Genomic DNA, 13,219 nt, shown 5'->3' on the forward strand with positions numbered 1-13,219 from the left:
AATGACATTACCATTTGTCTTTGTTTTTGCACGATCCCTCTGCCAACCACATCTTCAATAAAAGCAATCTTCATATAATCAATCTGACCAAAAAAAGAGGCCGCCAAAAGTGCTTTTATCAAGAATACTGTTTGAAATGTTAATGGTCTCATTGATAATTATTTCATCCCAAGTATACATTATGCTGTGATCTATTAAAGAATTTCTCCAGTGCATTAAGAAAGTTTGGTGAGTGGCTGGCACAGTGGTTCACGCCTATAATCCAGCACTTTGGGAGGCTGAGACAGGCGAATTGCTTGAGCCCAGGAATTCAAGACCAGCCTGGGCAACATAGGGAGACCCCATCTCTATTAAAAATAAAAATAAAAATAAAAACCTAGCCAGGCATGGTGGTGCATGCCTTTGGTCTTAGCTACTTGGGAGGCTTAGGTGGGAGGATAGCTTGAGCCCAGGAGTTCAATGCTACAGAGAGCTATGATCATGTCACTGCACAAGAGCCTGTCTCAAATAAATAAATAAATAAATAAATAAATAAATAAAATAAAAGTTTGGAAAGCATTAGAGTAAATTTTGAGATTCAAAATTATCTTTGTTACCCAGTCAATTCACATGTACAGAGATCAATAACAAAAGTAAAAAGTTGTCTTTTTAATTTGGGAAAAAAATGATCATCTCACTAGAAGTAAATTAAAGTGTACCACACAATCTAAAAGATCTCATGTTTTTTAAATGAAGTTGTTTCCTTGGAGCATAAATAAAATTAAAACCAATTACTCAATCTGAGCCCAGTTGCAATTGACTTCTCCTTTCTGTTTGTCCTTAAGATGCCTGTATAACAAAGCAAATTCATGAGATATCTGAGTATATTTTCCCTGGGTGGTAGTTGATTTCCACTCAGCTTTGGGAGATGACTCAACAAAACAAAATTTGTGGGGTAAAGAAGACTTAAATAAACAACAGATAAAAATTGATGGGATTGACGTCTCACTGTAAGCCAAATAGAATTTCTGCAGACCAAATGGTTTTGAAAGGCATTTACCATGTCGTGTGTAACTCTCTGTAATTATATCTGGGAGTCATCATTTCACTTTCATGCTCATTGTCAAATGAACATCAGCCTCCAGTTTAACACTGTGTGGAGGAGGGGTCAGAGAGAAAAATTCTTGGGTTTTTTTATGGTAGGGAAATTATCATGTATCCACATTGCTCAGACCTTTACAGAACATGTAAGTTACTTTGGACCTGAGCTTTGATATTTGTACTTTATGACATTTACTAATGACTCAAAAACATACAGTGTGCTCCTGAACTTTTAAATCATGGATATGTCTTCTGTTCTGTAGTACTACACTAACTACAGTAACCTGCCTACAAAAATTAAATATTGGTTCATGGTTATAATTACAGGCATAAGCTTAAGGCAGTGAAGCTTAAAATTAAGTTGAATCATATGAAATGCCATTATTTGGAAGCCAGAAATGGTAAAAATCATCAACTCTGGAGACAAGCAATCCTAAACTCTGGTTGGTCCTGCCAATGCTGGTGAATGGCTCCACTCCAGTCTAGGGGTGCCCGGCTCCAAAGACAGCTCCTAAACTCTGAATGTTGTACCTGCATTTAAGAGCCTCGTAAAAGTACCATTTCTAACACTCTAGTTTTAGCTACTGTAGTTAGTGTAGAGGGCTAAAATCCTCATGCGCTGCATTTAATTACATGAGAAACTTTCTGCAAAGAGAAGTTGAACTCTAACTTACAAAGTCTTTCAAATGCAATATGTAGTATTCATTTCCCCAAAGATATCTATGCTCATCAAGGTCCAGAAATTTGTAAATTTAGAGAAATAAAATTGACATATGAGTATACAGACCACAACTTAAGCAAACAAATGAATTTTTCCTTCAAGATAGACTCTGTGGGAGCCTGTACATTTATTCTCAAGATGAGGTTATTATTCAAAGTATAGTTGGTGCCCCTGTTGGTATCACTCTAAGAGAGAGTTTATAAAAAGCGTCCTCATTATCTTATAGTCACAGCTCATAAATCTGTTCACCTTGGGGTGATCAAATGAGAGGCTGGCAGGATATCAATCTGTGTTTTCAATACTGTGTATTTGAATAGCGATGAAAACACCAAGAGGTATGACCACTTTGTCAGAATTGAAAGGAAGGCTTCCTAGAGCTAAAAACCCTGGGCTGAATCCCAGGAAGCCTTATGGATTGGTTTAGTAGGATAATTATGTGGCTATTCACTGGTAAGTGAAAAGAGGAGAGAAATAAGCACGAAAAAGTCATAATAAATGTGATCGGATTTTGGTGTTTGGTATCTATCCCATCTATTTTCTAAGAAATTCTTAAATTCTGCTATATGATTTTATAAAAATTCTCTAATGTTTGAACATGAAACAGCCTAAGTGTCTTTGACTCTGTCGGATCAGTCCCCTCCAAGCTTTCTGTGTTTGAGGGACTTTTCCTGCTGGTGATCCCCAGGAGGTACCTTTCCACAGGGACTCACACAGCAGCATATCTGTGTACTCTATCCAGCTGTTCCTGTTAATAAGAGATAAAATTGAGACATAGAAGGTGAACCCTTTTTATTTCCTTTCCCTTCTGGAAATTGCAGCACCCAGTGTGCCCTGAGTGTCAGTGTTCTATGCTTAGCGAGTCACTAAAAGCACAATTCACAGCCTCCCATCAACAGCAGCTCTTGTCCCGGCTTCTCGGATGATTCCCATGAACTTGGCATTCAACCTAAGGGTACAGAGTCATAAACCAGAGTTGGCTCTTTTCTTGGAGTGTTTCTTTTGTTTGATTTTTGTTTGAGACAGAGAGTCTCACCCTGTCACCCAGGCTGGAGTGCAGTGGTGCGATCAGGGCTCACTGCAGCCTCAATCTCTTGGGCTCAAGTTCCCATGTAGCTGGGATTCCCAAGTAGCTGGGACCACAGGCACATGCTACCATGCCCAGCTAATTTTTTTTTTTTTAATTTTTAGTAGAGATGAGGTCTCCTTATGTTGTCCAAGCTGGTCTTGAACTCCTGGGCCCAAACCACCTGCCGGCCTTGGCCTTCCAAACTGCTGGGATTATAGGCACGAACCACTGCGCCTGGCCAGGGGTGTTTCTTTTGTACCATCATCTATTTGAGCGAATCTCCATGCAGATGACAAGACCCACGATTCTGTCTCACAGAAACCTTCAGATTAAGCCCAACCCAGTTAGATTTTAATGTCAGTTTTTATTGATCTGTAGTAGAGAGGCTGATAAATTTTCCCAATAAAACCTTGTTCCTGAAGCCTCTTTCATATTCCTGATCTTCTACACCAGATGTTCTTAAACGGTTTCTCTCTCCACACCACAGGGTAACCTGACAAGAAAGATGGAATTAGAGCAGCTCAGGAAATGTGCCTAGACTCTCACCTCTTTTAGTTGTGTAACTGCCAACACTGTGGCCACATTACTGATGAAGGTGCCTTGCATGGAAGTGTCATCTGTTAGGTGTGTTAAAGAGAAAAGAGGCTAAGAATAATTGACACCAAAACCCACTGAGTTTAAAGGATGTAAGATGACACCCAGATGCCTGAGAGGGCTGATAAATACAGGCACTATATTCTAAGAGTTCCAGAGCTGGCAGTCCTGGATTGCAGGAGGGCCACTCACCACTACTGTCAGGTCCAACTTATCTTCAGGATTGCTTGACTCCAGAGCTGGTTTTTGACCAATTCTGGCCAACCAAACTGGGAATTTCACAAGGTACAGCTTAATGAAGCTCTGTTGCCTGAAGTTTGTCTTTTGTGCCCGCTTGGTGCTCCAGGTATTTTCTGGTCTTACACCAACCTTCTCCAAATATTGCCAGTTGTTGAGTGGCCTCTTGCTGGATCCTCTAGTGCACATTGTCCTTGAACTCTCTTCCTTTTACTGCGTTAAAATCCACAGCTCTCCAGTTAGGGATCATGCTTAGGTGTTGCTGCAGCTTCATGCGTTATTCAGCTTCCCCTCTTAGAGCACAATGGAACCCAAAGGAATCCACAGTAAGAGAATTTTTTAGAGTAAGGAAAGCAGAGAGGATAGCTTTGCATAGATCTGGAGTGATAGGACACCTTTCTTGGCCCTCAATTCTAATCTAGCCAAGTGGCTGCCTACCTTATCTAGACATACGACTGTCTTTTCATAAGGCCTTCTTGTGGTGATTAGGAAACTGGAGAAGATATTACATTGTTCTCCAGGCCACACTCAAGATGTGTCTATTTTTGTTACTCGTTTTGCAACGGCTTTAAATAGCATACCTTGGGAGGCATTTTGAGATCAAGGAGTTTACCTTTGAAATAATGTATCTTCTTTATCAGCAGTGGGGCCACTTTCTGGCACAAGATACGTGCTGTTATGATATTGCAATCCACTGGGATAAAAATAATTCATGATGTCAGACCCTCATCCCAGGAGTGCTGCCCTCTTGAGGTCATCTTCCAGGAGGGGAGGTAGGGTGGGCCAGGCCCGGAGCCTCCGCAGAGACAGAAATAGAGTGCTAATGGCCTTCAGCGACACGGACAAGAGTGGGAAGTGGACAGATATATTTATCAAGAGAAACGGCTCCAAGCATCTGCTAAGTCCCCATTCTCCTCTTTTTCCCAGGTCTATTTCTGGCATCTCTTTCCACAGCACAGGCAGCCTTGCAGAATGAAAAGTATTTCTCCCACCTGCCCTGGCCTCTGCCCTGGCTCTGAAAGAGGCAGGCTGTGAATGATGGTTGTCAGTGTCTGGAGTTTTCACTGAAAAACAGTCCCCTGAAATGGAAAGACACACAGAGGGGAGTGATCTCATCGCCACTGATTTTTCCCAACTTTCAGTTTTGTATCTCCATGGTGGAACTCGATACAGCAGCATCCCTCAGTGGTTCCAGCCCAGAAGTGCAAGGGGAAGCCGGCTGCCTGTTCATGAATTCTGTAGCTCAAAAAGCAGAGGCCGAGAAAGCAAAATTTCAAACCTTTGTCAGAAAGGGTGAGACCTTGCTCAGCACGATAGCTGAGAACAGCTTCCTCCTTCAATGCTGGTCTCTCTATACTGACAGTTGACAGCTGATGATCCCACATTCTCAGTCATGCGAATGACCTCACCTGAGCACCAGTTTGTAACGGATGTTTAAGAGGAAAGCAAGGGAATTAAATGCTGCACAGGAATTTGGCACTTCTGTATAGAAATAGAAAAACTAAATGAAACTTATAGTACCTTCCACTCAACTAAGATTCTTGTGAAGCAAAGTATATCTGGGAAAATATAGTAATATGGTTATTTTGTGTTCATAGTGTGTGACTCTACTTATAAGCACTTTTTAATCATTATAATCAATCACTTTAAAGATCTTAGAGGGAACTTATTAATCAAAATTTAAGCCTTCTTTAAAAAAAAAAAACTTCCCATATACTAATTTTGCACAGAAGCAAAAGATTAGATTGGGATTCTGCCTGTTGTGGAGAGACAAAGACAAGAGTGCTCCAGATTTCTGTGTTTGTGTTTTTACTTCATACTTTCAATGCGTCCGCAAGAATAGACTTGTGTTTCTCTTCTTAATACACAATGGTTAGAGCTCACAGAATGTAAGTAAGAGATTCTTTGAATTGCACAATAAGCCAAGGAACTTTCCCAGCTACCGGGAGGCTGAGGTGGGAGGATTGCTTGACCCCAGTGGGTGGAGATTGCAGTGAGCAGAGAACACATCACTGTCACTCTAGCTTGAGTCACAGAGCAGGACCTTGTCTCAAAAAGCAAACAAAAAGCTGGGTGCAGCAGCTCATGCCTGTAATCCCAGTGCTTTGGGAGGCTGATGTGGGAGGATCACTTCAGACCAGAAGTTCGAGGCCAGCCTGGCCAACAAGGTAAAACCCTGTCTCTACTGAAAATACAAAAAATTAGCCAGGTGTAGAGTGGCACATGTCTGTAATCCCAGCTACTCATGAGGCTGAGGCACCAGGATCACTTGAACTGAGAAGGCAAAGGGTGCAAAGAAACAAACAAACAAAACACACAAGCCAAGAAACTTGACCCCAGTGTTTGGGTCTATCTCTAAAAATTCTGACTGAATAAGTTGCCCACTTTTCAGATAGGTGCCCAAGCTCATTTTGTGCTTCTCTAACAGAATGCTGAGACTGGGTAATTTATTACAAAGAGAAATGTATTGGCTCACAGTTCTGGAGGCTGGAAAGTTCAAGACCAAAGTGCCAGCATCTGGTGCAAGTGCAAGCGTCTGTGCTGCATCCTCACATGGTGGAAGGCAAGAAGGCAAGATGGGGTGGAACTTGCCCTTTTATAAGGTACCAGTTCCACCCATGAAGGTAGAGCCCTATGGCCTAACCACCTCTTAAGGGTCTTACCTCTTTATACTCCTACAATAAGAATTAAATTTCAGCATGAGTTGTGGAAGGGACAAACATTAAAATGACAGCAATAAGGGAGAGGACCCCTCTCAAGGAGATGAGGGAAACATTTACTATTCACGTTTTCAACTCTACCTGGCCAGGAGATTCCAACACTGCAGCTTCTGGTGACTAAAGAGCAACCTAATAGAGAAACTACCAAGGAAAGCTAAGTGGTTTCCAAACAAGTTCTCTCAAGGTGACACCTGATGTGGTTCTAAAATATCTCAGCTTTTGCAGGTTTTAAAATATGACTTGTCAATTTCCCAGGCGTGGTCTGACTCTTGGGGCCAGAGTTGCATTGATGGCACTTGAGAGACTAATACATAATCCAGAGCTCCAAATGTACACTGTGAAATAAAACTGCCAAGGTGAGCTAGAAATGTTCTTTCTGCCTTCTCTCTTTGTATAAAAGCCACATGAAAAGAGGGTTTATAGTTGGAAGCTGTTTGGTGATCATGGAATGAAAGTGTGGGTGTGGAGGAGAAAAAATGATCTGCAAGGCTAATATCACTGAGCTGTAGTAATCTGGCTCACCTGTCTTGACTGGAACATGCCTGCCAAGCATTCTGGTTGGGTTCCCTAGAAGCACATGGACTCTGAGACAAGGATTCACGTGAAAGTGATTTTTCAGAATGTATTACCAGGAAAAACTGGTAGGTGAGTGGGGAAGTGGAACAGGAATGGGAAGTGAGGTAAGCAAGGCTGAATTACCAGGTGAAGTCTCCAGGAAGGTGAGTTTGGCTCAACCTCACAGGAGAGCTTTGAAGGTAGAGCAGTTCCCACATCAAACTGTCCCATTAGGGGTAAGAGAACTGGAGTACTTATACTCCAGCACACAGAGCCACTGGATAAGAGTCACCCATGTGTGCAGAAAGCAGACTCTGGCAACCTTCACCCAAGTCGGCACTGGCCCAGGCACAGGACTCAAAGAGGTACAGGTGCTGGCTGTTGGAAGTGAAAGCATAGTGGAAAACCAAGTGCACACAATGGCATGAATCCGCGGGATGCGCACTGACCTGTGGGGATGCACCTTGATGTGGTTGGCTGCCTCCCTGCTGGAAGGCCCCTGCATCCTCCCCCAGACTGTTGTCGATGCCCTGTCACAAGCCTTGTCTCAACCAACCTCCCATCTTGAGCACCCGCTAAAGGCCATTCCCTTCCTTAGCTTTGTCCTGGTCTCTGAACTTTGGCATTCATAGTCTATATCCACCCTTTTATCAAATATAACTTAGGATGACTTTGTTTACATATGGTTGAGCTTGGCTTTTGCATGTCCACATACTCTTATTTTATACTCCCAGTAAAACCTTAATATTACCCCAGGTACTTATAGCTTACATTGCATAAAGAAAGAAGAAAGTAGGAAGAAAGGAAATCAGGAATTACATAGATAACAAGGCTGTGTAGTTAGCCACCCCCTCCCCATGTGGGGCCTGAATTACGTGATTGAGGGTGATCAGTCATTTAACTTAAGAAGCTACAATGTTTCATGTAGCTTTCTTGTAGAACAGCTACAGACTCTAAATATTTCATTTTTGACATTGATAGACTAGGAGAGGAAATTATCTCCAGGAAAAATGCCATGCATGACCAGGGTTAATGATATGGAACACACCCCACAAAGATGCTTTGCCTTTGGGTACCAGGACTTCAAATCCTACACAATGAAGGTAGGCAAATTTCTTCTTCCATCAGCCCCAGATGGAGAGCCCAACTTTATGGATAATATTTTATCCCCCTCCTTTCTCTCTCCTAACACACACATTTCCACCCTGTAGCCCACCCCACCCTACCCTGTCTCACTCTTTAATCCTATTTCTATGTAGGATTCTGTTATTTGCATTCCAGAGAAATTTTTTTCCTAACAAGTATAAAGTGAAGAAGCTATTCTTTATGATGAAAGGATACAAATCTTTCTCAACCTAGATGTTTCTAATACTCTTCAGTGAGGGTCTAAAGTGGGAAATGATTTAAATTAGTCTTCAGTGAATTTCTCCCCAGCTTTCTCAACCCAAAGGACAGAGCAGCAACTTAGCTGGTTCTCACAGGATCCAATGTTTGTTTGTTTCAGATCAAAAATGAAACCAAGAGAGAAAAGAAACAGTGCAGTTAGCAAAAAAAAAAAAAAAAAAAAAAAAAAAAAAAAAAAAAAAAAAAGCAGGGATTCTTAATCTTGAGGGTGCGTGAAAATACTGTCGGAAGAGGAGGCATTTCGATCTGCAGCCCTGCCGTGCTGGGTTTCTGAGCTCTGCTGCTCTCTTTCTCTGGGTAACAGGAGACTTGAAGACATCGCCCAGAAGGTAGAGCTTCAAATCCTGTTCTAGGGCCCAGAAGCAGAGGTATGGACCCCACTCCTGAGTTAATTTACTGTATAACATATGGTATTTAAAAACTTTTACTAAAATCTTGTTCCTATGCTTTGTGGTCAATGTCCAGGCTAATTTGGGAATCGGGACTAACCAACTGATCCCACTGGTGAACAGAGAAACTCAAGAGTTCAAGGCAAGGCCTCAAGTCCAGCAAAGTGTAATACCCTTGAAACCCCAAATCCTGGTGGGCACTGGTGCGTCCCACTCAAGGGTCCAGATGCTCATTTTTGCATGGATACACTGTTGAGGATTTTTCTGCCTGGGATGCCTTCCCCCTCCTCCTCACAGCCCATTTTTTTCTCCACACATCATTTCTGAGTCTATAATTCCTATAAAATTTTAATATCCAGCTTAAATGTTCATCTCTCCATAATTCCCCTGTCTGAACCCTTTTTGTCCTTGGTCCAAAATAACTTGAAATGATTTTCTTCTATGGAAATTGTGGGGTTTTTTCCCATTATGTAAGTGCCTTGACTCAATTTGATTTATTACTTCAGCATCTATGTAGTAGCTTTCTGTGCTGTGTGTTCTTCTTCTATAAATGGGGGATGATAACAACAGTACCTTCCTCAGTGAGTTGCAGTGATGTTTAAATGAGTTAACAACATAAATGGCAACAGAACCAGATACATAGTAAATGTCCAAAGAAGTTAGCAATGATGACGATAATGTATATCGTTATAATAACCCCATATACCATTGGTAAATATTTTGGAATGAAAGAATAGGTAAAAATAATTATCAATTACTTTGAAGCATGGGTGACTTGAACACCCAGGCCCAAGTTCCAGACTCCCCTGAGGATTGCTTCATCATCACTGGGCTCACCTAGAGTCTGGGAGTCTCTGTTGTTAGGTTCATGCAAGATCTCCAGGTCTTGCATGCTTGTTAGATAAAACCCCACATAGGGTTAAACAGAAGACCCAAAGACAGGGAACTCTTCTCAGAAGGAAAGAAAATTGCCATTAGTTTTATTGCTGTGGTTTCTGCTGCTGTGGATGTTTTTTAAATTATCTAATTTTGAGAGCCTGGGAAATGACAAAGAGCCCGGCTGTCCAATTATAACACTGGTTGTGTAAACCCAGGAGACTTGGAGTCTCTTAAAATTTGTGTAAAGAAGGGCTGATCATAATCACAATACATCACCACTGATGTGTTTTGTTTGCATGGTATCATTTGGTTCTAGTGATTTTTTCCTGCATTATTCTAGGTGACATGCTATCTCTCCATCAAAACAGGGAAGTGAAGCCTTGGAGGGAATATAGTAATCTGCATTTCTCTTGTATCCATTCTTTCATAGGACTTCACAGACCACTGGATCTCACGCTTTGGTGAGAGCATCTCATGAGGACTTTGCTATCAAAGCAGATTTTAGAACCCATCCGCAGGCGTTCAGACTCAGTGTCTCTGCCTCGAAATAGGCATTTTAAACAAGATCCTTAGGTTTTTCTAAGGCAGGCATCTTCTGGTCCTTGTATTTCAAAACATTGCTTTTTATGGACATATAGGAATACACAGAGGCATACATGCAGTTTAACTGGAAAAATATTAAGTTTAACTGTCATTTATACATTCATTACAACATATTTCATTCACCAAATATTACCAAAACTTAGGATGTGCAATAAAGATTCAGAGTAAAAAAAAGTCCCTCCCATCATGGAGCTTAAATTCTTACTGGTTAGAAACAATTCATCAACAAATAAATGCACATCCACTTATACATGTGCATGTATGTTTGTTTATTATATATGTAATATGACATCATATACACTAAAGGTTATATATGTGTAGTATGGCATTCTATATAGTATATACTATATAGACAATATATACATATACTATATACTATATTTACTATATATATTATATATAGGCTATATAATATATACTATATAGTATATGCTATATATACTCTATATTACATGTAGTGTAGATACTATATTAATACTATAACATAACAAATATAATACTGTTTTATAGTATATTTATATATTATATATAGTATATTATAGGTACTAGTATAGTACATTATATTAGTATGATATATAGTATGTTAATACAGTAAATTATATATAATATAGTATAGAATACTATAATACTATATATAGAATACTATATATACTACATAGAATACTATAAGATTAAATACTATATATTATAATGTAGTATGCTATATATCCTATACTATATATAATATTATATACTACTATATATAGTTTATACAGTATATATGTTGTATGCATACTATATATACAGCATATATAACATAGTATATATTATAGAGTGTATATATACAGCATATACAATATGTATATATGTATAGTATATATGTTGTTTATACTATATATAGTTATTATTCTTGTATTAATACATTATATTAGACTTTACATAATGTCTATATTTGTGTCTATATACATGTATAAGTCCATATATAGGCATTATATAAATATAGCATGACATTATATATTCCATATATGAAGTATGACAGTTGATGATAATTTCTTTAAAGGAAAAAAAGCAAGTCATAGGAGATAGAGGGATCATTTAGGTAGAGTGACAAGGAGACCTTTCTGAAAAGAGGCGTTTGAGCAGATTTCTAAAAGAATGAGTGAACAGACCCCAGAGCTGATGAGAACAGAGCCCTGCAGGCAGTGGTAAAGCAGGTGTCATGCCCTGAGGGGGCACTTTCTTCAAGTGATGATGGAAATCAAGGAGGCCAGCCTGGTTGTGGTGGCAGAAACAGGTGGGAAAGGAATGGAGGTGAGTCAGAGAGGGGACAGGGACCAGCTCATGATGGGCCTTGCAGATGACAGAAAGGACTTTGGCATTACTCAGAGCAAGGCGGGAAGCCACAGATTGCCCTGAGCAAGGAAAACTGTGACAAGACGTGTTGGAAAGGATCACTCAGGCTGCTGTGAGGACAACACAGATGAATGCCAAGAAGCTGATGGCAAGGCCCCAGTGCTCAGGAAAAGCCAGGCAAAAGCTGCAAGGCATCCTGGTCTCATCAGAAATAAGTCAAGGAGAGAAAATGCAATCCCCGTGAAATGAGCTTCAGAAACACACATCAGAGGCTATTGAGAATTCATGACATCAAAAGCAATTTTTAAAATTCAGCATAGTTTTTTTAATCCAAAAAATATATATCAACACTCCCCCATGCCAACACTCCCTTTGAGTGAGGCAGATTCCTCAGGATTCATGTGGCAGCCACACATGAGCATATGAAGGGACAGAGAAGCCACCAGCTGGTTCTGCCTGACATTCAGCTTCTCCTGCATGAGGCTAGCTTTGTTTTGGCCAAGAAGTGTCCAATGGGACATAAAATCTGAGCAGAAATGTGTCCCAGAATCTTCTGTATTTCCTTCTCCTCTGCCTTTGCCTTGCTTTCTTCTTTTCCTCTCCTTATGCCTCTCTTTCTCCTCCTTCTCCTCAGAAAATCATTGTTTTGAAAAAAAAAGTGCACACTTTTTTGAGGAATCTAAGCAATGCAAAAGTACAAAAAAAGAAAGTTTTTTTGTTTGTTTGTTTTTTTAGAAAGCTTCCTCATAGAAACAATCATCAGTAGCATTGAGCAAACTGATAGGAGATTGTAAAAAGTTTGTGGCTAGAAACAAAACAAATGCATTACCTTGTGGTTCTGTAGGCCACAAGTCTGTTGTGGGTCTCACTGGATTAAAATCTAGGTGTCTGCAGGGCTATCTTCCTTTCTGGAGACTCTAGGGGTAAATAGGTTTCCTTGCATTTTCTAGCTTCTAGAAGCCTCCTTTATTCCTTGGCTTGTAGCCTCTTCTCAATGCCAGGAACGGAGCATCTCCCTGACCTACTTCCATGGATCTATCTGTTTCTCTGAGCATACCCAAGGAAAGGTTCCCCACTTAAGAGAACACCTTTGATTACATTGGGCACACACAGGTAATCCAGGATCATCTTCCCATCCCAAGGTCCTTAACTTTAATCACCTCCACAAAGTCCCATTTGCCAAGTAAAATAACATATGCACAGGTTCTGGGGATTAGCATATGGACATCTTGGGGGAGGTCATTATTCTGCCTACCAGATTGATAGACCAAATGCTTTCATAAAAATGCAATATACTATTCCTGTTATTTTAAAAAAGTGCTCAGTTTTACCTAAATCAACAGATTTCAGAATTAATTATTGCAGAGACATCCTTCAGTCCTGCTGCGTGTGTTAAATGGCAGATGTAATTACAGAAAGCTAAGAGTCTTAGACCAAGGGTGAAAAATCTGCATAGCAATGAAACAAGATATTATGCAAAACTTATGTAGTGTTAAAATAAGCATAATGGGATGTCCTTTCGTGAAATGTCAGCTAATTTCTTTAAACAGATACTTCCTTTTTCTCTGGGCCTCATCATCTCCCCAACCACCACCACCAAAAAAAAAAAAAAAAAAAAAAAGTGTAAGCTAATCTAGTT

At 40.2% G+C, this 13,219-nt stretch overlaps 1 long non-coding RNA gene across 3 annotated transcripts in view; it reads left to right on the forward strand.

Moving 5' to 3' along the window:
* Positions 1 to 13,219, forward strand: part of LINC00836 (long intergenic non-protein coding RNA 836) — an 81,224-nt gene that overhangs the window by 26,184 nt on the left and 41,821 nt on the right. Inside the window, exon 4 of one of the 3 annotated variants that reach the window (NR_108069.1) lies at positions 4,626 to 5,490. The exons of the other annotated variants lie outside the window; for them this stretch is intronic. This is a non-coding gene — a long non-coding RNA (long intergenic non-protein coding RNA 836). Of the gene's footprint in view, positions 1 to 4,625; positions 5,491 to 13,219 lie in introns of those variants that run through there. 3 annotated transcript variants of the gene reach the window in all.

The sequence above is a fragment of the Homo sapiens genome, chromosome 10 (assembly GCF_000001405.40).
Source record: "Homo sapiens chromosome 10, GRCh38.p14 Primary Assembly".
Taxonomy (NCBI): domain Eukaryota; kingdom Metazoa; phylum Chordata; class Mammalia; order Primates; family Hominidae; genus Homo; species Homo sapiens.